General features: G+C 43.9%; 1 protein-coding gene across 2 annotated transcripts; it reads right to left on the bottom strand.

Moving 5' to 3' along the window:
• Positions 1 to 8,832: 8,832 nt before the first annotated feature.
• Positions 8,833 to 18,484, bottom strand: RNASE10 (ribonuclease A family member 10 (inactive)). 2 transcript variants are annotated; one of them, NM_001012975.3, is made up of 2 exons: positions 18,372 to 18,484; positions 8,833 to 12,250 (listed from the first exon to the last, which is right to left on the bottom strand). In NM_001012975.3, exon 2 carries the CDS (start codon positions 12,243 to 12,245, stop codon positions 11,595 to 11,597), a length of 651 nt encoding a protein of 216 aa, NP_001012993.1. In that variant the 5' UTR covers positions 12,246 to 12,250; positions 18,372 to 18,484; the 3' UTR covers positions 8,833 to 11,594. The 2 variants fall into 2 exon arrangements, with proteins under 2 accessions (NP_001012993.1, NP_001373135.2); NM_001386206.3 differs by lacking the exon at positions 18,372 to 18,484 and adding an exon at positions 16,698 to 17,180.
• Positions 18,485 to 24,807: the final 6,323 nt, after the last annotated feature.

Below are 24,807 nucleotides of genomic sequence, written 5' to 3'. Positions count from 1 at the left end.
TTTCTTCTTCTTCTTCTTCTTCTTCTTATTCTTCTTCTTCTTCTTCTTCTTCTCCTTCTCCTTCTCTTTCCTCTTCCCCTTCCCCTTCCACTTCCCCTTCTCCTCCCTCCTCCCTCCTCCCTCCTCCCTCCTCCTCCTTCTCCTTCTTCTTTTTGAGATGGAGTCTTGCTCTGTCAACCAGCTTGGAATGCAGTGAGGCAATCTCACCTTACAGCAACCTCAGCCTCCCAAGTTCAAGTGATTCTCCTGCCTTAGCATCTTGAGTAACTGCAACTACAGGCAACTGCCATCACACCCAGCTAATATTTATAATTTTAGTAGAGATGAGGTTTTGCCATGTTGGCCAGGCTGGTCTCGAACTCCTGATCTCAGGTGATCTTCACCCTCCACCAACCCCCCAGCCTCCCAAAGTGCTGGGATTACAGGCCTGAGCCAACCGGACCCAGCTGAAATACTTACATAGTTTAAAAATGCATCCACTACAAAATACTTAGTAGTTACAAAGAAAAAAATAATAACTTCAGTAGAGAAGGCTGGCAGATTTCATTTTAATCAGGTGAACAAAGTAAACATCATCAATAATGGTTTAAATTGAAATTGAATTGAAACTTAGAGGATGCAGTGGGAAGAACATGCACCATTTTTGTGACATCTCTGCCAAAGATGGAGAATCTAAATCTAATCAGGACAAACCCACATGGAGAAACATTCTACAAAATAACTGGACTGGAATCTTCAAAAGAGTCAAAGTCTAAGAAAGCCTGCGGAATTGTATTACAACAAATGAGAATAAAGAGACATGACTACTAAATGAAACACATGATTCTGATTGGATCTTTTTGCTCTAAAGAACATTATTGAGACAAATGGTAAAATTTGAGTAGAGTCTGAGTTAGATGGTAGCATAATGTGAATGTTAACGTTAATGTCCTGATTTTGATAGCTGTATATGAGAATATCCTTGTTACAAGAAAGGCACACCAAAGTATTCAGGAATGGAGGCGCATTCATTAACTTACTCTCAAATGGTTCTGGAAAAAAAAAAAGAGTTATTTGTGTTGTACTTGCAATTTTTCTGAGATTGATGTTACTTCAAACATTTAAAATTACAGTTCAAAATTATAAGGCAACCCTGTAAATAATATTTGATTCCAAGTTTTTTAACATATACATGTTCGTATGTATATTTGCACATAAAAATCTAAAAGTATATGCACCTAAATATTAAGGGTGATTAATCTTAAATAGTGTGACTACATTTGACCATGATTTTCTCCTTTTTCGTCTGTATTTTCCTAATTTTTTTTACAATGAATGGTATTGCTATTTTTATTCATTAAATCACTAGGAAAAATATTAGAAAATACAAATAAATTTGAAAATAATGAATCAATTAAAATTGCCCTAAATCTCATCACTGAAAGTTAACCACTGATGACATTTTGATATCTATCCTTCCAGGATTTTTTACACGCATATATATATATATGCATGTATAAGAAAGTTAAATATATATTAGAAAACATATATATATAAAATGTTATTTACAAAGGTAGGCATGTGTTTTCACAAAATGAAATAATAATAAACACACCATAAATTTTTTTCACTGAATTCATCTACATTCTTTCACGTCAATAAATTTAGGCCTTTACTATCCCTTTAGGGACTGAATACTATTTCATTGTTAAACTACTATTTATTTAAATAATCCCTGATGTTGGACACTTAGAATTTTTTTACTTTTACCATTATAAATCATGCTATGATGAACATTTTTATTCATACAACTTTATGCATTTGCCAAATTGATTCCTTAGGATAAATTATGAAAAGTAAAATCCTGGGGTCAAAGATTTAAAAAAAAATATTAGGCACTTTTGCTGCATATTATCAAATTGCCCTCTAGAAAGTGTGTGTATCGGCGTATATTCTTACCTGCCTGGTACCCTAACCCATGACAATGTTAAATAGTATCTTTTTTCTATGTGAGGAACTTAAAATAATCAGAATAAACAGTAATCTTTAATATTTCTGGAGATAACTGGATAAGAAAATACATTTCATAAGCTTATAAATGTACTAAAAATGATAAACATTCTATGTTTTTTAACTAAGTTGGTAGGTCAATTATTAGCCTGGGAGTGGGGAAGGGGAGAGGAAGTAAAATAATTCTTTAGTTACTAGATAAAGAAAAAATGATATGAGTGGAGAGATGGAAAAAACACTATAATGAGCCATTCCAGACCAGAAAGTCTTGCATTTCATAACTATATTATCTATTGCTGTGAAACAAATTACTGTAAAACTTAGCAGTTAAAGCAACAAATATTTACCATGTTGCAGTTTCTAAAGGTCAAGAATTTAGAAGAAGGTTAACTGATAGGTTCTGGTTCAGGGTCTCTCATAAGCTTGCAGTAAAAATGTCAGCTAGGGCTGCAGTCATCTGAAGGTTTGACTGGGGTTGGAGGAGCTGCTTGCAAGATGGCTCACCCACACGGCCTTTGGGAGGAGGTCTTAATTCCTTCCTGGTGTTGGCAGGAGACCTCAATTCCCACATGGGTCTCTCCATTGTGCTGCTTGAGTGTTCATATGATATGGCACCTAGCTTACCCCCAGAGCGAGTGATGTGAGCTCAAGAGCAAGGAGGAAGCCAAATCCTTTTTTGGACCTATTTCAGAAGAGGCATGCCATCACTTTGATCACATTCTGTTCGCTGGAAGTGAATCCATTTCTAGCAGATTCTCTCACTGAATTCAGTCACACTCAAGGAGAGAGAGATTAAGCTCACCTTTTGGAGGGAAGAGCATTAGTGACTGTGTGGACACATTTTAAGGCTACCATAATAGCTAAAACACATGAAGCTCTTATCAAGAGCTTCTATAGTCTCAGATATTGATGACAGATGGCCAACTAACCACAGATCAAGAAAGGTCAGGTGCAGTGGCTCACCCTTATAATCCCAGCACTTTGGGAGGCCAAGGCAACAGGATTACTTGAGGCCAGGAGTTTAAGGCCAGTCTAGGCAATATAGAAAGCCCCCCATCTCTAAAAATATTTTTGTTTTCTTGAGACTGAGTTTTGCTATTGTCACCTAGGCTGGAATGCAGTGGTGCGATCTCGGCTCACTGCAGCCTCCGCCTCCGGGGTTCAAGCAATTCTCCTGCCTTAGCCTCCCAAGTAGCTGGGACTACAGGCATGTGCCACCACGCCTGGTTAATTTTCTTGTATTTTTTGTAGAGACGGGGTTTCACCATGTTGGCCAGGCTGGTCTTGAACTCCTGACCTCAGGTGATCCTCCTGCCTTGGCCTTCCAAAGTGCTGGGATTAAAGGCATGAGCCACCATGCCCAGCCTAAAACATTTTTTACATTTAAATTTAGAAAAATAAAGTTGGAAACCTAGTGTAATGGAAACATCACTGATTCAGGGGCCAGAATATTGGACCAGGGAAGATCAAGTCATGGCCGGGCACAGTGACACTGTAATCCCAGCATTTTGGGAGGCTGAGGCAGGCAGATCACCTGAGGTCAGGAGTTCGAGGACAGTTTGGCCAACATGGTGAAACCCTGTCTCAATTGAAAATGCAAAAATTAGCCTGACGTGGTGGGAGGTGCCTGTAATCCCAGCTACTCAGGAGGCTGAGGCATGAGAATCACTTGAACCTGGGAGGCAGAGGTTGCAATGAGCCGAGATCGAGCCACTGCACTCCAGCCTGGGCAACAAAGCGAGACTATCTCAAAAAAAAAAAAAAAAAAAAAAGGCATATTAGTCAATGTATGAGAATAGGCTATGCAAAAAATAAAAATAAAAATAAGTGAGTTCAACTAGATATATACACATTGAACACCTACAATGCACAAGGCATTGTGTTAGTTCTACTGGGTATAACCAGAGAGGCTACTTACCTAAGATAAGCTAGTAAATGTTAGAACTACAATTTTAACGCAGTTCTGGAACTTTCAATCGAAGTTACTTACCTAAGATAAGCTAGTAAATGTTAGAAGTACAATTTCAATGAAAGTTCTGGAATTTTCAATTGAAGTTCCAGATTCCATGTGCTTAACCATTATGCTTCACTGACATTCTAGAGTCTACCCTGCCCACCTGCCTGAAGTGATCTCCAGCTTGGGCCCCTGACCTTCAGCTCTTGGAGGGCTTCAAGAAAAATGAATTCCCTATTCCTTCCTTAGAATATGTTCTTGAGGGGCTGGGCACGGTGGCTCACGCCTGTAATCCCAGCACTTTGGGAGGCCGAGGCGGGCGGATCGCAAGGTCAGGAGATCGAGACCATCCTGGCTAACACAGTGAAACCCCGTCTCTACTAAAAGTACAAAAAATTAGCCGCGCATGGTGGCGGGCGCCTGTAGTCCCAGCTACTCAGGAGGCTGAGGCAGGAGAATGGTGTGCACCCGGGAGGCGGAGCTTGCAGTGAGCCGAGATCGCGCCACTGCACTCCAGCCTGGGCAACAGAGCAAGACTCCATCTCAAAAAAAAAAAAAAAAAAAAAAAGAACATGTTCTTGAGTTAGTGATTTATTGAGGGAGTGCTCTTAGGAGAAACCTGTATGTAAGAAGCTAAAAAAAGAAGTGATTTTAGCTAAAAGCTAGTCTCAAACCTGACCCCATGGGGAGCTCTAAAACATGACTGATGCCATAAGATTGAGGCAAGAGGTCTAAGTTCTTACACATCCATATCAGCCAGTCATTGGCTATGGGCTACCCCTGGGGAAGGACATAACCTCTTAGACATTGTCAACAAGGCGGCCCCCATAGGCTGGAGGCTATGCTCTGGAGAAGAGTGCACCTGTGAATTCTTGACAGAGAATACTCAGCAGCTGTGGGATGGCTGCACCTCCCTGGTAAGGGAGGTCTATATGTATCAACTGTTCTCAACCTTACAAATATATTATTTTAACCCCAGTCTTCTAATACAGTTGCTTGCTGTATGTTTGGTCCTTAGCAAGACCAGCTTTCCAGAGCAGTGCCCAGGGCTGGCTCTAATCACATCACCTTCCTTCTTCCTATCACAATTATCCCCTCTGGATCTCATTTGTGGATATGTTGCAAAGCCTGTTTCTTTTGTTTTGTTTTGTTTTGTTTTAATGACTGTATACCCAGTAAGTAGGTAGCACAGTGCCAAACGCATGCAAAAGCATTCATAGAATAAGGCCTATTTTGCTTTTTTCTTTTCTTGTTGTCACCTTATAAATGTGCCGAAGATCCCATTTTTTGAAGTTAATAATTTTATATACTTGTGTATAGGGATATGCAATAAGTTTATAAGGATATAATTCCAAACACTAACCTCATGCTAGTGCTGGAGAGCTGACATTTTCAAACACTGGGGCATCCCAGTACCTCCTGAAATCCTATTTCCATAGGTAATGGACTATTATGTCTCAACATGAGACTCACATTTCCCTCATTGCCTCTGTTGCTTGGCCTTAATATTACCATTTTCCTCTTCCCCTTACCTTTCCCCTAAATCCAAACTTAACTGGGTTTCTGAATCATAATTCTTATAAAGAATCAGCCCAGCTGCTCCTGGAAGTGACGTCTCTGGGATGTGAATCACTTTCTGAAAACAAACTGGAGCCCATTGCAAAAATGTGAAGAGGAGAGAAAGGCAGGTCTCTGCGTAGGATACAGGAAATGGAGGCAGGAACATCAACAAATTCCACGCTAAATCAAAGCATTGCTGAAAATGACAGAAACTCTGTGCCCTGGAGTTCCTTTTGACCCCACCAGCAATGAATCTCTGCTGGATAACGTAACTTCATTTCATGGGAAAGAGAGGCTTGAAAAGAACCAACTGAGGCTACCCTGCTTGGTAGACTGAGCACTTGAGGAAGGCGAGGAGATGACTTCTTGTCGAGAGCCTAATAAGGACATAACACATGAGACATTACCTTGGATACAGCCACAACCAGAGCTGCCTCTACTGTGTGTGGCCCTGGCTAAATTTTTTGGGGGGTAAGGGTGAGGAAGAGGGCCCTATCTATATAAACAGTTTCATGTTTAAATATATTACAAAATTTATGAGCCCAAGTGAAGTATCATGATTTGTCAATGAAGTTTTAGAATAATGAGAAAAGAAAGAGATACTATATATTTCTTTATTGTCCCATCAATGTATATGGAGATTCTTCGGACTGTCCAGATATCATCTCTTCCTGTTAGATCTAGGAATCATTTCTTCACACTCCTTACTGTCAAATGCACCATTCTTGAATATTTCATGTCTCCAACCACAAGAAAAAAGGGTATCACACTGCTACAGCTCTTCGAAACCTATTTAAATTGAAACAATTTGTATCTTCTTGCCTCTGTAGTTTCCTAATGCCATTTAATGTCAGTTATAGTGTTACTCATGACAGGGAATTATCCAGTTTATGGCCTAAATACCAACTTCCAATGACTCTCTCAAAGGTTACTTTATTACTTTATGTTGTTGGTGATGATCACAAATGCAAGTCTTATCCAGAATATGCCAGAAAATGAGAATGATAATTAATTTTCAGGCCATGTAGAATTTGCCATTTGGAGTTTTGTAGTATAAACATAAAACATATCTTCCAATCATATTTTCTCTTGAACTCTTTAAGCCGTAATTACTGCATTCCTAGAACGTGACCTCTTTTACAACTAACCACATTCCTACCTTCCACACATTGCTACTAGCAAGAGACCCGTGGGCAGAGTGAAAAAAGCATCCTGTTCATGCAAGGAGTGATTATCCTTCATCTTGCACAGATTAAGACCAACCCAAGAAAGCATGTTATCACCCACCAGTTGGAGGCAAGAGAGAACATTGACAGGAAATGCCCCATTGGGGCTAGGAGCGGTGGCTCATGCCTGTAATCTCTGCTCACTGTAACCTCCCTCTCCCAGGTCCAAGCAAATCTCCTGCCTCAGCCTCCCAAGTAGCTGGGATTACATGTGCCTGCCACCATGCCCAGCTTTTTTTTTTTTTTTTTTTTTTTTTGTATTTTTAGTAGAGATAGGGTTTCACCATGTTAGCCAGCCTGGTCTCGAACTTCTGACCTCAGGTGATCCACCTGCCTCGGCCTCCCAAAGTGTTGGGATTACAGGCATAAGCCACCACGCCTGACCAAGTCCCAGAACTCTTTTGCAGCACCTAGTTGACCCCACACATGGCAGTGGGGAGACAGTGCTCCAAAGGGGAGAAATGGGACCCGGGCCCACACCAGTCCTAGTCTAAGCTCAGAGCACCCTACCCACATGGCACTGCTGGCCTCAGCCAGTCCCAGATACTGTAGTGGGGTAACTTCCTGTATGGAAGGCACTCCAAAGGGACCCTTGAGGGCAGTGGCCCTGCTCGCTCAAGTCTAAGGACTCTACTGGCCCTAGAATATAAATTTTGTGGCCATCCAAGGAATGAAATTTTAAAAATCCTATAAGATCCCACATGTCCACATACTGCCAACACACCTGAAACTCAAACCTGTGCTGATGGTATTGCACTTCGTGTCATAGTGCTGCTTCCAGAAGGACTCCGTCAAAATATTATGTGTTCTCCGTGGGCAGTGAGCCCTGCAGCATCACCACCAAATGCAGCTGCCATTCATTGAACCCTACCATGGGCTGTTCAATCTCATCTAATCCTCACTGCCACCCTATAAAGTAGGTATGATCATTTTCTCATTTTACTGATAAGAAACCTCAGATTCTGAGAGCTGAGGGCAATTCCCATAGTCACAGCTGCTTTTTTTTTGAATGGCAGAGCTGAGATATTCTCACGTTTATCCCAAGAATTGGTTCTTTTCTCCTACATCACACCACATCATATTAGTTAATAACCTGAGCAGTTCAACATCTTTATTAACAGTTTTGAAACATTAATTCACAGGAAAACTGGTAGGCTCCAAGATGCTGGACCCCACCTGATGTCTAGGCTCCAACTCAGACTAATTAAACCAATATTGCTAGAAGAGGGCCCTGTAACTTTTTTTTAATTAAAAAATTTTTAAACTCCCCAAGGTAATGTTTTGTTGTTGTTGTTTGTTTGTTTGCTTGTTTTGAGACAGAGTCTTGCTCTGTCGCCCAGGCTGGAGTGTAATGGCATGATCTTGGCTCACTGCAACCTCCACCTCCCAGGTTCAAGTGATTCTCCTTTCTCAGCTTCCCAAGTAGTTGGGACTATAGGCTTGCACCACCATGCCGGGCTAATTTTTGTATTTTTGGTAGAGATGGGGTTTTGCCATGTTGGCCAGGCTAGTCTTGAACTCTTGACCTCAGGTGATCCACCTGCCTCAGCCTCCCAAAGTACTGGGATTACAGGCGTGAGCCACCATTCCTGGACAGTAATGTTAATAAGCAGCAAAGCTCAGAACAACTTAAAAAAAATTTTTTTTTGAGACAGGGTCTCACTCTGTCACCTAGGCTGGAGTGCAGTGGTGCAATCATAGCTCACTACATCCTTAATCTCTGGGGCTCATGCAATCCTCACACCTTAGCCTAACCCAAATAGCTAGGATTACAGGCATGTGCCACCACGCCTGGCTAATTTTTCTATTTTTTGTAGAGATGAGGTCTCCCTACGTTGCCCAGGCTGGTCTTGAACTCCTGGGCTCTAGTGTTCTTCCCACCTCAGCCTCCCAAAGTGTTAGGATTACAGGCATAAGCCACCACACCTGGCCAAAAACTTGTACAGAGTGTTTTGAAGACAATATTTGAGTGTCTTCCAAACAGTAGAGGAGACATCCCTTGGCCCATAGGTAGATAGTCATTGATTAATAAATGTGTCAATGAAGAATATAGAAGAAACTTATAATACAGATCCTTCCACAAAGGTGCTAGTGGCCTAACTAGGATCATATCCAGTATACTCAAATTAATTAAGGCTAATTAAATAGTATATATAGATCCCACAATTTCTTACTTGAAACTTTTGGGGCCAATGCATTTTGGCCAACATTTTCAGATTTTAAAAAGCACTATTGTATGTTAATGTGTGTATGTTTATATCATATATGACTAACACACTCTTAGAAGGACCTACTCATAACAAAACACAGTGATATTTCCACAGTGAAATATGTAATGGTCACATAGCATAAATAAACAAGATAAATAGCCTCACATTGTCAATCTAGTCAGGTGTCATATCTAAATGAGTTTTGGGGCCACTTTGAAAAAAACTTTCCATTTTCAGAGCTTCAGAGATTTGGGTACTGTAGATAAGGGACTGGGATCTGTCATATGGGCTCAACACAGATCCTGGAAGTGTAGAGAGGAAGCTACATTGGAATTAGAAGACTCGGTGAAAGTCTTGTGAATGAGGCAGAATTTGAGCTACAGTGAGTTAATTTTCTGCCCCTGGGAGGTGAGGTCCCCACAATGCCTTGTCACCCTGTTATCAGCCATGGAAGCTATATTTTCCTGCTTGAGCCACTAGGCGCCTGTGGAGTATTTTGTAAATTGCTTTCCTGCGATAGTCTACGTGGTCAGATTAAACAAAAAAAACAAAAACAAAACAAAACAAAACAAAAGAAAAACATGACCCACTGAGATTTGCCCAAAGTGAAGACCCGGAGGAGATGAGTATGCCCATCAAACAGTGCCGGAACGCTTAGGGAGAGAAGCTGGACGGAAGCTGAAGAGGATGGAGCCACATCTGAATACTAGAGAATATAGGCTTTAATCCCTGGCTAATTCCATTCTCTTAATAATTCACTCCATACAATGGAGATCTTTCACATTTCATTCCTAAATCCTTGGTTTACCTACCAGACAGATTGCTAACGTGGCCGATTTTCTCTGACACCTATTCTTCTTTCCCCTCTTCCCATCCTATTTCTCATTTTTTCCCCCTTACCTTAGATAATCTTTTGTCTCTTTCCCCGGAGAGGGATTCGCCCTCAGGAAGCATAGGAATCTGCCTTGGCTGGGTCATCACCTTTCACCACTTCATTACCACCTCTAAAACATCAGGCCAGCCCACAGATGGAGACATACCTCCTGTCCACTATTATTAGAATTCCCTGGGAGACAACACTGTTCCTAAGAGGTTATTGCTGGAAGTGAGTCAGAGGTATAAGGGATATATTGAATCAGGGACGTCTAGGAGGATACTAAAGTGGTTGCCTGTCTGTGAAAACAGGAAGGATAAAGAGAATAAAGACAGAAAGAACAGGAAAATGCAAGCCAGGTCAGAGTAAAGCAAACCGTTCTTCCCTTCAGTCTCCCATTTATGTATGTCCCTGACTTGGGTCTATAATAGTCTAGGAATGTGAAGCAGAGAAAAACTCTAGGGGAAGGAAATCTCAAAATTCAGTCACACGGTGAATCCTTACAGCTATGTTCTCAGATTCCTCTTCTCCCTATGCATGACTAACTACACTATTTCTCATTTGAATTTAGAGGAAATAGGCTGAGGGCAGCCACTTGCATCTTCTGTGTATCCAGCCACACAGCTTCTCTTCTCCTTGATTAAGTTTGATACCTTCTCTGCTGAAATTATTCTTTCACTAACTTTCTTGTTCTTTAGAGCAATAAAGCGGAAACGATGCTAAATGAGAAAAAGACTGTCTCCCATCCCATTCATCCCACATCTACTGGGCACCTCATATGAGCACTATTCTGCTTCTGGACATAATTCAAAAAAGATTTCTCACTCTCTCTTTCTCTTTCTCTCTTTTCCTCTCTCTTTTTCTCATTCTCTTGACCCACCCCCCTCTAACTCCCTGTGCCAGACTCTGACTATAGGACGAACATCTGCTTGCATGACTGACTATAGGACCAACATAGCATAAGTGATCAGTATCGGCTGACTGAATCTCTAAAAGGATCCAGATAAAGAGAAGAGCGGGCCCAAAAAGAAAAAGAAGAGGAAAAGGAGAACAGAGAAAGTAAGGAGAAAAAGAAGCAAAGGACAAAAGCAAAGGTAAGAGATGAAAACAAGAAGCCAAGCAAGGAGGCTGCTAGTAAAAGGTGGGAAGAAAGAGAAAAGGGCAGTGAAGGGTCAAGAAAAAAGAGTTCTATTCTTGCTCCAGCCCATCTTCTATCTTGCTCTACAGCACCACACCACCTCCCCAGCAGACCCCCATACCTAGGCCCTAAATTTTTCCAAGCTCGGAAAAGGAAGCCTGTTCCACATGGTCCTCCAGAAGCCATTACAGATAGAATCACTTTAACTTCATCCGCAATAGAGAAGTGCAGTTGTGCAAAACCCAAGAGTCTTATGTGATTGTTGTAGAGGCTCAGGGTGGGCAGCAGGGAAGAACATGGGTAAAGGATACACTAAACTCTTCCAGTCCACATCCAGAGACAAACTCAGAGCAGAGCAGGAAACAAATGGATGGCCAGGACTACAGTACGGACTACAGCAGCTCTTCACTTACTCCTTTCCAGGGTAAGGGAAAGGAGAGGCAGAGAGCTTAGAGAAACTAGGCATCATCACCTTATCCTACCATCTCTAATCCTAGGAACAAAATGCAAGTTGGGTGACCCATAGGGCAAGGAAGAATTCCATCTGCATGATACCTAAGATCAGGAGAACTATATGAGAAAGAAGAAGTAAAAAAGGAAGAGGAACAGGAGAAGGTGAAGAGAAAAAAGATGATGAGTTGCTTCATTGTCCAGTTGGTAACTGGCGCTTCATGTCATTACAGGTTATAATAATGTGCTTTTTTATAACAGAAGTTAGGTAATTGCAGTTAGGAGTGACCTGGTCTGGTTGGGACAGCTCGCACAATGTCAAATCAAAAGGTCGGGAGCTTTTGTGACATTTTCCCCCCTTGAGCTCACAGGCAATGACAGGACTGTTACAGACAGCTTTGACTGTGTTTAGATCCTCATGGATGAATGCATACTGGGCTATGCAACTCTGACTGGGCTCCTTCATCTTGTGTGCCATCATATCATTGCATTCTCTATCTGTCTGGTCAAGCCTAAGATAGTCTTTGTTGCTCTGAAAGAGAGCTGAGGCTCTGAGCATCTTGTTACCCCCAACCTCATCTTCACCGAGGATGGGATCTTCTGGCCAGCCAGGTTGCACCACTTCTTTGTTGCTAAGCACCAGCGTTTCTGTGGTTTGGGTGCCGTCTCCCTCCTCAGTGGCCTCAGCTTTGTCCTGTGAGTCACTGGACCAAAATTCATTGAGCGGTTGATCACTCTCCTCCAAGACTGCTGTAGCCATATGAAGTCCCAACCCCAGGCCCATCCCCAGGCCCAGCAGCAGCATCAGCAACATGAAAAAGATCTGCACCAGATTCAGCTTCATTTTGCCTGGAGAGGAAGCGGGAAATGGAAGAACGTGACTTTGAGATCAAAATTGGCTCTAGTAGAGACTGTAATCTCACTAAGCCCTACAGCATTGTATCTGGGGTCTCCTGTGTCTTCTGCACATTACTCTACCCTCTTCAAGGCAGCGATTTCTCTTTCCATTCCCATTTCTCTTGTTCCTCCCTACCACATTCCCTGTTGCTGTGTAATAAAATGTGGAAGTTTCCTCATGTTTCTTCTCTTGAAGAGTAGGGAGATGACCAAGGGAAGCAGTTCTGAGGTAATTTACATATGGGAAATCAGTGAGGAAAGTTGACATCAATTGATTCTTTTTTTTTTTTTTTTCCTTTTGAGACAGGATCTTGCTCTGTCACCCAGATTGGAGTACAGTGGCACCATCATAGCTCACTGAAGCCTCAATCTCCCAGGGTCAAGTGATCCTTCTGCTTCAGCCTCCCAAGTAGCTGGGATCACAGGCACACACTACCATGCCCAGCTCTTTTTTTTTTTTTTTTTGAGACGAGTCTCGCTATGTTGCCCAGGCTGGTCTCAAACTCCTGCGGTCAATTAATCATCCCACTTTGGCCAAAGTGCTGGGATTACAAGTGTGAGCCACCATGCCCCTGACATCAATTGATTCTTAAACAGAAATTTGTGCCAAATAACCAGAGAATGATTGAGAAGACAAGCGTGTACAGTGTCACACTCTCCTTTAGGGAAATTCTTGTAGAAAGCCTTATTGTCAATATAGGACTAGATTTACCACAGAAGACCATCTCTTTATTTTTAACCCAAATTTGCTTTTGCTTATTCAAATATCTATTACTCTTCTTGTTACCCACCTTCCCCACAAAAGATAAAAAGGAATAGAAAAAGTACCACAGTCCATTCTTACTCCTAAGCTGAGGCTGGAGGGAAGATGTCCAACTTTACATCTCAGGCCCCTGCTAAAGCTACATCTTGTTAAGCCAGATTCCTTCTACTATTAAAGATCTCTTAACATCTGAGTAGTCTTGCTGATTAGGTTTATACTCTCAGGGAAGAAATGGAATAAGAATGAAACCAAAGAAAATCAAACAATTGACCTGCTGGGGGTTCCCCTACTCATAAAGATTCTAAGGAGGCCAGGCTTGGTGGCTTCTGCCTATAATCCCAGCACTTTGGGAGGCCAAGGCAGGTGGATCACCTGAGGTAGGAGTTCAAGATCAGCCTGGCCAACATGGTGAAACCCCATCTCTACTAAAAATACAAAAATTAGCCGGCATGGTGCCACGCACCAGTAGTCCCAGCCACTGGGGAAGCTGAGACACGAGAATTGCTTGAACCCGTGAGAAGGCCAAGATGGTGCCACTGCACTACAGCCTGTGTGACGGAGTGAGATTCTGTCTCAAAAAAAGAAGATCCTAAGGAGAGCTGAGCATGCATCTTTGTCTTGCTAGGCCAGTCTCATCCCCTTAACAAAGAGACACATTCCCTGCCAGAAAAAAAAAAAATTGCTATGAAGAACATTATTGAGGCAATTGATAAAAGTATGATCTCTGTAGTAGATAAGAGTATTATGGCAGTCCCCCTTATCCACAGGGAATATGTTCCAAGACCCCAGTGAATGTCTAAGGCCCTATATGTACTGTTCTCTTCCTATACATACATATCTACATAAGTTTAATTTATAAATTAGTAATATATATTAACAACAACTAATAAAATAGAATAATTATAACAATATACTGTTCAAAATTTGCAGATAAAAGATTCTTTCTTACTGTAGATTTTACCAATTGCAGCATGTTTTTCCCCCCTTTCCTTATTAAGTTGAGACACTTTCACCTTTTCACTCAAACGGAGCACTTTACGGGTTCTTTTTGACGTGTCTGAATTGCCAGCATCATCATTCTTGCACTTTGCGGCTATTACTAGGTAAAATAAGGGTTATGTGAACACAGGCGCTGAGATACTGTGACGGTGCATCTGATATTGGCCACTAAGTAGCTAATGGGTGGGTGGTGTCTACAACATGGACACGCTGGACAAAGGGATGGTTCACATCCCAGGCAGGATGGAGTGAGACGGTGAGAGATTTCATCACATTACTCAGAACAGCATGCAACATTAAATTATGAATTGTTTATTTCTGGAATTTGCCATTTAATAGTTTCAGACCGTCGTTGACCATGGGTAACTGAAACTTTGGGTAGGGAGAATCACTGTATATATGTATTTGATATACTGAATGTAAAACTGTACCCTGATTGTTTAAGAAAATATCCTTCTTCTTAGGAGATGCACACTGAAATATTAAGCAGGAAAAGAGCACAACATATGCAATATACTCTCAAATGCTTCGGAATATAGATATATGGATATGTATACATGTGTGTGTTTACAGAGAGAGAGAGAAAATGATAAAAAATAAATAGGGGGCCTGGGCGCAGTGGCTCATGCCTGCAATTCCAGTGCTTTGGGAGACCGAGGCAGGTGGATCACTTGAGTCCCGGAGTTTGAGACCAGCCTGGGCAACATGGTGAAACCCCATCTCTACAAAAAATATGAAAAAATTAGCCTGGCTTGGTGGCGTGTGTCTTCAGTTCCAGCTACCAGGCAGGCTGAGGTGGGAGGATGGTTGGAGCCCAGGAAGTTGAGGCTGCAGTGAGCCATGATCCAACTGCTACACCCCAGCCTGGGCAACCGGAGTGAGAATCTATCTCTAAATAAATAAATAAATAAATAAATAAATAAATAAATAAGGGAAGTTTAAAAAAATAATGTACCTGGATAAAGAATATTCATGAGTTCCATGAATTATTATCACATTTGTTTGTAAAGTTGAAAATTTTATTTATTTATTTATTTATTTTTTTAATTGATCATTCTTGGGTGTTTCTCGCAGAGGGGGATTTGGCAGGGTCATAGGACAATAGTGGAGGGAAGGTCAGCAGATAAACAAGTGAACAAAGGTCTCTGGTTTTCCTAGGCAGAGGACCCTGCAGCCTTCCGCAGTGTTTGTGTCCCTGGGTACTTAAGATTAGGGAGTGGTGATGACTCTTAACGAGCATGCTGCCTTCAAGCATCTGTTTAACAAAGCACATCTTGCACCGCCCTTAATCCATTTAACCCTGAGTGGACACAGCACATGTTTCAGAGAGCACAGGGTTGGGGATAAGGTCACAGATCAACAGGATCCCAAGGCAGAAGAATTTTTCTTAGTACAGAACAAAATGAAAAGTCTCCCATGTCTACTTCTATCCACACAGACCCGGCAACCATCCGATTTCTCAATTTTTTCCCCACCCTTCCCGCCTTTCTATTCCACAAAACCGCCATTGTCATCATGGCCCATCCCCAATGAGCCGCTGGGCACACCTCCCAGACGGGGTCCTGGCCGGGCAGAGGGGCTCCTCACTTCCCAGTAGGGGCGGCCGGGCAGAGGCGCCCCTCACCTCCCGGACAGGGCGGCTGGCCGGGCGGGGGGCTGACCCCCACCACCTCCCTCCCGGACGGGGCGGCTGGCCGGGCGGGGGGCTGACCCCCCCTCCCCCCTCCCGGACGGGGCGGCTGGCCAGGCAGAGGGGCTCCTCACTTCCCAGTAGGGGCGGCCGGGCAGAGGCGCCCCTCACCTCCCGGACGGGGCGGCTGGCCAGGCGGGGGGCTGATCCCCCCACCTCCCTCCCGGACGGGGCGGCTGGCCGGGCGGGGGGCTGACCCCCCCCACCTCCCTCCCGGACGGGGCGGCTGGCCGGGCGGGGGGCTGACCCCCCCACCTCCCTCCCGGACGGGGCGGCTGGCCGGGCGGGGGGCTGACCCCCCACCTCCCTCCTGGACTGGGCGGCTGGCCAGGCGGGGGGCTGATCCCCCCACCTCCCTCCCGGACTGGGCGGCTGGCCGGGCAGAGGGGCTCCTCACTTCCCAGTAGGGGCGGCCGGGCAGAGGCGCCCCTCACCTCCTGGATAGGGCGGCTGGCCGGGCGGGGGGCTGACCCCCACCACCTCCCTCCCGGACGGGGCGGCTGGCCGGGCAGGGGGCTGACCCCCCCTCCCCCCTCCCGGACGGGACGGCTGGCCGGGCAGAGGGGCTCCTCACTTCCCAGTAGGGGCGGCCGGGCAGAGGCGCCCCTCACCTCCCGGACTGGGCGGCTGGCCGGGCGGGGGGCTGACCCCCCCCACCTCCCTCCCGGACGGGGCGGCTGGCCGGGCAGATGGGCTCCTCACTTCCCAGTAGGGGCGGCCGGGCAGAGGAGCCCCTCACCTCCCGGACGGGGCGGCTGGCCGGGCGGGGGGCTGACCCCCCCCCACCTCCCTCCCGGACGGGGTGGCTGCCGGGCGGAGACGCTCCTCACTTCCCAGACGGGGTGGCTGCCGGACGGAGGGGCTCCTCACTTCTCAGACGGGGCGGTTGCCAGGCAGAGGGTTTCCTCACTTCTCAGACGGGGCGGCCGGGCAGAGACGCTCCTCACCTCCCAGACAGGGTTGCGGCCCAGCAGAGGCGCTCCTCACATCCCAGACAGGGCGGCGGGGCAGAGGTGCTCCCCACATCTCAGACGATGGGCGGCCGGGCAGAGACGCTCCTCACTTCCTAGATGGGATGGCGGCGGGGAAGAGGCGCTCCTCGCTTCCTAGATGGGATGGCGGCCGGGCAGAGACGCTCCTCACTTTCCAGACTGGGCAGCCAGGCAGAGAGGCTCCTCGTATCCCAGACGATGGGCGGCCAGGCAGAGACGCTCCTCACTTCCCAGACGGGGTGGCGGCCAGGCAGAGGCTGCAATCTCGGCACTTTGGGAGGCCAAGGCAGGCGGCTGGGAGATGGAGGTTGTAGCGAGCTGAGATCACGCCACTGCACTCCAGCCTGGGCACCATTGAGCACTGAGTGAACCAGACTCCGTCTGCAATCCCGGCACCTTGGGAGGCCAAGGCTGGCGGATCACTCGCGGTTAGGAGCTGGAGACCAGCCCGGCCAACACAGTGAAACCCCGTCTCCACCAAAAAAGTACGAAAACCAGTCAGGCGTGGTGGCGCGCGCCTGCAATCGCAGGCCCTCGGCAGGCTGAGGCAGGAGAATCAGGCAGGGAGGTTGCAGTGAGCCGAGATGGCAGCAGTACCGTCCAGCTTTGGCTCGGCATCAGAGGGAGACCGTGGAAGGAGACCGTGGAGGGAGAGGGAGAGGGAGAGGGAGAGGGAGAGGGAGAGGGAGAGGGAGAGGGAGAGGGAGAGGGAGCAAACTCACTTTTTCATCCTTATGATTTGTCTATATATTCTTTTGGGGTTTCTAAACACAGACACTGTTTCATGGGTGAATCAATCAGAGTTTTACTTTTTCTTGTCTGGCACTGGAGCTCTTTCTTTGTCCTACCCTACAGCATTGGCTGAGACCTCCAGCACCATAACTTGTAGAACCGCAGATCAAGGCACTTTCAGGATTCACATTCAGTGAGGTTTGCCAGAGTTACTTCTGCTCCTCTAGCAATTGATCAGATAACGCTTTTTCATTATTCTTGTTGTATTCGCTGGATACACGCTGCTTGAGCTTTGGAGCCTCGCAGTGGTGTGTACGTGTGGCGGGGGCTGGCCTGTGAGCTCCTCTCCGCTGCTGTCCTTGCTGGGTTAGGGACTGAGGCTACGTTGGCCTCAGGAGCTGGTGAGTGCTCCCTTGTCTTTCTGGAAGAGTTTTGTGGACGTGCATTACTTTCCCTGTAAATGGTTGGTAGAATGCTGTGGTGATGCTGTCTGCGCCTGGAGTTCTTTGTGAGAGAAGGTTGTAATGACAGATTCCTTTTTTTTTTTTTTTTTTTGAGACGGAGTCTCTCTCTGTCGCCCAGGCTGGAGTGCGGTGGCGCGATCTCGGCTCACTGCAAGCTCCGCCTCCCAGGTTCACGCCATTCTCCTGCCTCAGCCTCCCAAGTAGCTGGGACTACAGGCGCCCGCCACCGCGCCCGGCTAATTTTTTGTATTTTTTAGTAGAGACGGGGTTTCACCGTGTTAGCCAGAATGGTCTCGATCTCCCGACCTCGTGACCCGCCCGCCTCGGCCTCCCAAAGTGCTCGAAAATTTATTAAAAAATTATTTATTTTAAAAAAGAGAGAGGACTTCCATGTTGTTCCTTGAGGCACCCAACACCTCTGTGACTTACGTACATGCATAAGCAGCTGCAGAGATTCTTGTGTCCTCTCGTTCCCCAAGTTCTTCCCTCCCAGGGTTTCCTTCTTCGTGAGCAGTGCCCTGGCTGCTAGTCTGAAGAAAAATGGTTATCTTCTGGTGGTCCACGTGCTCTTAAACACACACTTACTTCCTAAACCCACTCCCCGTTTCACTTCCTCCGCCTAGCACTGAACAAACACACTCAGCCAATTCTTTCTGTTCCCACAAACACTTTGAAGTGAGGCTATCTGGGCACTGAGACAGATCCAGACATCCAAGACGGGAAATCTCTCCAGCCTGGGAAACTGCAGACAGTTTTGTTTCATGGATCAATTGTTCTGCTCCTGAGTTACACCCGCTATCCTGTGGTTTATGCAGCCTGACCTTGTGCATGAATCTCAAGTTTAGTCTTTTCTTATATCTGCCACATGTACTTCCTTTAATCCTCTCCTATAATTTCTGCAGTGTCAAGATCTTTGGCCTTTATTTGGCCATCTCTCCAACATGATTATTACTTTACAAGTGTATTATGACAAGATTTAGAGTATTTGAGACAATCATGAGTTTTCACATATCTTTACCTATAACTTTATCCAGTTTTCCACTCTCTACTCCCTCTTTCCATTCCCCTAGCCAATAACCACATTCCCATAAGAATATCTGGATTTTGCAAATCTGATCATTTAGCCCTAGATAGGAGACTATCCAAAGCAGCATTATCATTATCAGTCCCTATACTCTGGGTGAATAAAACCAGGAGGGTTACAATGTTGATCCTAAGGTTCACTTCTTTAGCTGAAATTGACATTCTGAGATAATATTTTTAAAACCACTCTGGAGACTGTTAAGGCACTATAAAAATCATCTGTAGACATAAACACGATCTTTTAAGAAGATGTTTTCCTAAACTGTGGTATAAAAAAATAAAATAAAAATAAAAGAAGATGTTTTCCTTAGTCCTTCAGGCAGAATTTTTCAAATGGTGGTCTAGGAGCCACTTCTGTGATTTACAAAGTCTACTGGGCTGACTTTTGCAGTGCTGGTGTTTATAATTTGCAGTAAGAGCAATGACACCGACTACCAGTATTGAGCACTTCCTTTTGCAAGGCACTGACTGCATTTCACCCTCACATTTGCTTGCGCTATCCCTCTTTGGTGTCTATTCTGCCCATTTATTCTGGTGAGGTCTATTTGCAATGTGAAGAGAAAATCAAGAATTATCTGCTGAGCCCAGCAGCAGTCTAAGGTCAGCAGGGGTAATGTATTCAACAACCATGCATCACCTGCTTCTTTATAACTAAAGAGTTTTGTTACTACTAGAGATCATTTGAAATTAACCTTTAATTAAATACAAAGAAAGAACCTAAGTCTGTGTAAGTATAACCTTTAGACTGGACAGGTTTTTAATTTTCATTTTTATTTCTTTTTCTAGGCTACAGTTTTCTCGTCTTCTAAATTTGAATCGTTCTTGGACATAAAGTGGTTTATAATACTAAAAAAATTTTTTAAATAAAAAATGAATAAATTTGGATAATAGTAGCACTTACTTTACAGGGCTGTTGTAAATATTATATAAGACACTGCATGTAAAAGGCTAAATGTATTAGTTGTTGTTGTTATTGCTCTTACATAGCAATTACCAACACATGCTCATTACCCACCCAATCAATATCATTTTCCTGTTTAGAAATAGCACATACTAAGGACCGTAGCTACCAACACTGCTCACTGTATCTTCTAGAAGAGTCAACCAGTATCCTGGAATCTCTCAGAAGGAATTATGAGAAGGCTGATATAAGATGACCCTCATTTCACCAACAAAGAAGTGGCTCAAGTAAGTTAATGTCCCAAATGCTACAGATAACTAATAGCAGTTCTGATACTAAAACCCTTGGCTTGTAGTTAAGAAAAATTTATGATAAATAAATAGATGGTGGATAAATGATAGGTAGATAGATAGACAGACAGATAGATAGGTGTAAAGAGATAGGGGTAGAAAAGATTGATGTTAAAACTGAACCCTACAATTCTCCCAGCTTATTTCCTAGAAAGAGTTTTCAGGCTGTGGCACAGAGAGGGAGACCCAGGCAGAGTCCGCCAGTCTTCCTGAGCTGAGGAGATAAAACTGGGGGTCCAAGGAAGCCAAGGCAACTGGAGTTCACAGAGCACAGTACCAGAGAGGACAGAATTGCAGACAGAACTTCAGAGATCTGGAGTGACAAGATGTCACTGCACATCCATCAGAATGGCTAAAAGAATAAATAGCGCAAATACCAACTGCCGGCAAGGAGGCAGAGAAACTGGGTACACGCATACATTAATGGTGAAAATATAAATGTTATGGCCACTCTGTAAAACAGTTTGTCAGATTCCTTTTTTTACTGATACATAATAGTTGTACATATTTGTGGGGTTTTGATACATTCATACAATGTTCGATAATCAAGTCAGAGTAATTGGGATATCCATTACCTCAAGCATTTATCATGTCTTTGTGTTGAGAACATTCCAAATCTTCTAATCATTTTGAAATATACAATAAATTATTGATAACTATGGTCATCCTGCTGTGCTATTGAACACTGTAACTTATTCCTTCTGTCTAACTGTGTATGCTTACCATACAACCCAGCAATTGCACTCCTTGGCATTTAACCCAGAGAAATGAAAACATATGTTCACATAAAAACCTGTACAGAAATAAAATAGCAGTTTTCTTCATAATATTCAAAACCTGGAAACCATCCAAATGTTCTTCAATGGGTGATGCATTAAGCAAACCATGGTACATGTACCATGGAATATGACTCAGCAGTAAAAAGGAATGAACTATTGATACACACAATAAATTAGATACATCTCAAGGGCATTATGCTAAATGAAAAAAATGTATCATCAAGCAGCCATGTACTGTATGATTCCATTTACATAACATGGAGAACAGATTCATAGTTGCAGGGTCAAGGATCATGGGGATAGGGATATACGCGTGACTACAAAGAGGTATCACCAGGGAGATCCTTGTGGTGATGGAATAGTTCTGTATCTTGATTGCAGTGGTGGTTACAGGAATAAACACACAATAAAATGACTTGTAACTACACACACACACACACACACACACACACACACCACACTAATGTTTATTTCCTGGTTTTGATATTGTACTCTTTAAGTGAGATATAACCACTGGGGAAAACTGTTGACAGGTACATGGGGACTCTCTGTACCATCTTTGCAACTTTCTGTGAATCTATAATTATTTCAAAATAAAAAGTTTTTCAAAATGTTAATGCTCATTATAGAAGTTTTATGTAATAGTATATAGAAACACACAAATACACACACAAGACCCTCATCCTACTGTTATTTACACGTTGGTGTGTATCTTTGCAATCTTCCTCCACCCAACTCAACCCCATGTTGACGTTAAGTTTAACATGTCTATAGAAACTACAAGTTGGCCGGGCATGGTGGCTCAGGCCTGTAATCCCAACACTTTGGGAGGCCAAGGCAGGCAGATCACCTGAGATCAGGAGTTCAAGACCTGCCTGGCCAACATGGTGAAACCCCGTCTCTACTAAAAATACAAAAATTAGCTGGCTTGGTGGAGGGCACCTGTAATCCCAGCTACTTGGAGGCTGAGACAGGAGAATCGCTTGAACCCGGGAGATGGAGGTTGCAGTGAGCCGAGACCGTACCATTGCACTCCAGCCTGGGCAAGAAAAGCAAAACTCCACTCCATCTCAAAAAGAAAAGAAAAGAAAAGAAAAAAACCTGCAAGCTGAAATGTCAAGTGGTAGTTGGACATAGTGGATACAGCAATCTGGAGTTCTGAAGAGTCTAGTCTGGAAATATAAATTTGAGACATAAAGAGACATAAAGGCATATGGTTATGTATCTAAAGACATGAGACTGGATGACAGTGTCCAGAGATTCTTTTTTAACTTTGTTTTGTTTGTTTTTAAGATGGGGGAAATAATAGCTTGTTTGTTGATAGTAAAGACACAGTAGAGAGGAAAAGCGTAATGCAGGAGTGAAAGAAAATATTTGTTAGAGCAATAGTTTGAGTGCTAAGACTGAGAATAGATCACCTAGGTTTATGTGTGTAAATGTGTTATGTTATCTATGAATTACACTTCAGGATAGTAAAAGGGAAACAACATGTTTGCTATGAAAGGTTGGATCTGGTGACGTGGTTGAGAACCAGCGGTTTGAAACAATCAGTAATGGTTAGTGTCTCGCTACACTGTGCACACATGAGTTTTTCCTTAATTCTGCAATTGCAGCTGCTCCAGTTGACTGGATATAAGAATCCAGCTCAGCTGTGGGATGGAGGCTTTCCAGGTATGAGGTCTCTCTTGGGATGCGAGACATGGGAACAGCAGAAGGGAAGGAATACTGAACAATGCTTTTCTTGTGGGTCCCAAAGAAGCCATTATCTTTTTTCCTACGGTTTTTGTCGTTCACATGCCCACCAGATAAACAAAGTCTGTGGTGGGAGAGGGGGCACTTTTTCAGAAACTGCCATGTTATTTGAGATGACCCAATATCTAAGCACGGTCTTCCATCAGGATCCCAGAGTGCTCAATTGTGTGCAGATCATAGCGTCAGTCTACCCACCAAACACAGAGGGACCTAGCCTATTAAACATCTTCCTAGAAAAGGCTTTCTTATGATATTATGTAGTATAATTCTTCTTACAGAAACATTTCTGAAGATTATGGTTTGCTTAAGGGTAGCCAGCAAAGGGGGTAAATAGAAATGAAAACCTAACCTATACTCTGTAAACAAACTGTACAAACTAGCGCTGAGTTGACTTCACCAGGAGGAAGAGCCTTTCTTCTCATTCATATAAAAGTGCTGTTTGGGCTTTCTGGGGACCTAAACAGATGGTGCTACATTTTAGTTCATTTTCACATAAGTAACCTCATGTGATCCTCACAACTTCCCCACCAAGTAAGAAGGTCTCAAATTACTTCTTTGGTTTTACAATAAAACTGAGGCCTCAAGCTGTTAAGTGACTCGCCTGAGGCCACATAGGTGGCGAGTGGCAGAACAGGAATGAGGCCCCGATCTGCTGACTTCCACCCATTGTTTTTTCTTTTTTAGCATCTGCCTAGACCCTGATAATGTGTTCCAGGTGAAATCATTTCCTCATGGACCTAGAGAACAATTGGTTACCAGTGATTCCGAAAACAATCTTGAATATATAAGATAGGTATTTTTAGTTATTATTAAGAATCACAATTCACATTTGTAAAATGAACTACACAAACCTGCTCACAATCTATAGAACCCAACCCTTCTTAGTCTGCCTGCTACTTTATTCTTATGATCCTTGTTCCCCCTCTCTAATCATTGTAGTTCTCTGATCTAGATTTCTACCTGTTCAGGCCCTGCATAGCCATGGGTTCAGTCCATGGATTGATCTCTGGGGGAGTTACCACATTATGTCTTGTTCTTTCTAACTGAGTGATTTGGGCAGCTTCTGCAATCTTGGAAGAGTTTTGCTAATAACATATGAACCGTTAAACAAACCACAACCACTCTGGTGCAACAGAAACTTCCAGAACCAACAGTCTACAAAAGGAGCTCCCCAAAATCACATCTAATTTATGAATCACTCCTGCCAAGAAGTTCTTTGTTTTTTTACAGCCTATACCTCTGCTAGAAAAGATGCCAGCTCTCTGATATTCTGGGTGTCATCCTCGATAAAAATCATGCTCAGGCCGGGTGCAGTGGCTCATTCAGCCTGTAATCCCAGCACTTTGGGAAGCTGAGGCAGGTGGATCACTTGAGCACAGGAGTTTGAGACCAGCCTAGGCAACATGGAAAGGCCCTGTTTCTACTAAAAATACAAAAACTAGCTGGGTGTGGTGGTGCGTGCCTGTAGTCCCAGCTACTTTGGAGGCTGAGGTGGGAAGATCACCTGAGCCCAGAGTGTTGAGGCTGCAGTGAGCCGATATCACACTGCTGTACTCCGGCCTGGGCAACAGAATGTCTCAAAAGAAAAAAAAAATTCAAACATTTTTATCAGTGTAAGTAATATTCACTCTCTTCTTTGAAATAGGCTTAATCATTATCTTTAGAGATATTTCATCTAAAAATTATTGGAGATGACTTTATTATCTGGTTGTATATGTTGAAGAAATAACCAAATTTCTTTGTAAGTTGCTTTTTTTTTTTTTTTTTTTTTTTTTTTGAGACGGAGTCTCGCTGTCGCCCAGGCTGGATTGCAGTGGTGCGATCTCGGCTCACTGCAGGCTCCGCCCCCTGGGTTCACCCCATTCTCCTGCCTCAGCCTCCCGAGTAACTGGGACTACAGGCACCCGCTACCATGCCCGGCTAATTTTTTTGTATTTTTAGTAGAGACAGGGTTTCACCATGTTAGCCAGGATGGTCTTGATCTCCTGACCTCGTGATCCGCCC

This window comes from Homo sapiens, chromosome 14, assembly GCF_000001405.40.
Source record: "Homo sapiens chromosome 14, GRCh38.p14 Primary Assembly".
In the NCBI taxonomy this organism is placed as follows: Eukaryota; Metazoa; Chordata; class Mammalia; order Primates; family Hominidae; genus Homo; species Homo sapiens.
The sequence above is the reverse complement of the archived record's forward strand: the minus strand, read 5'-3'. Positions and strand labels throughout refer to the sequence as shown.

Bases quoted from the DNA above. Each gene is read 5' to 3' on its own strand.
- RNASE10 (NM_001012975.3), bottom strand. From the start codon at position 12,245: ATGAAGCTGAATCTGGTGCAGATCTTTTTCATGTTGCTGATGCTGCTG.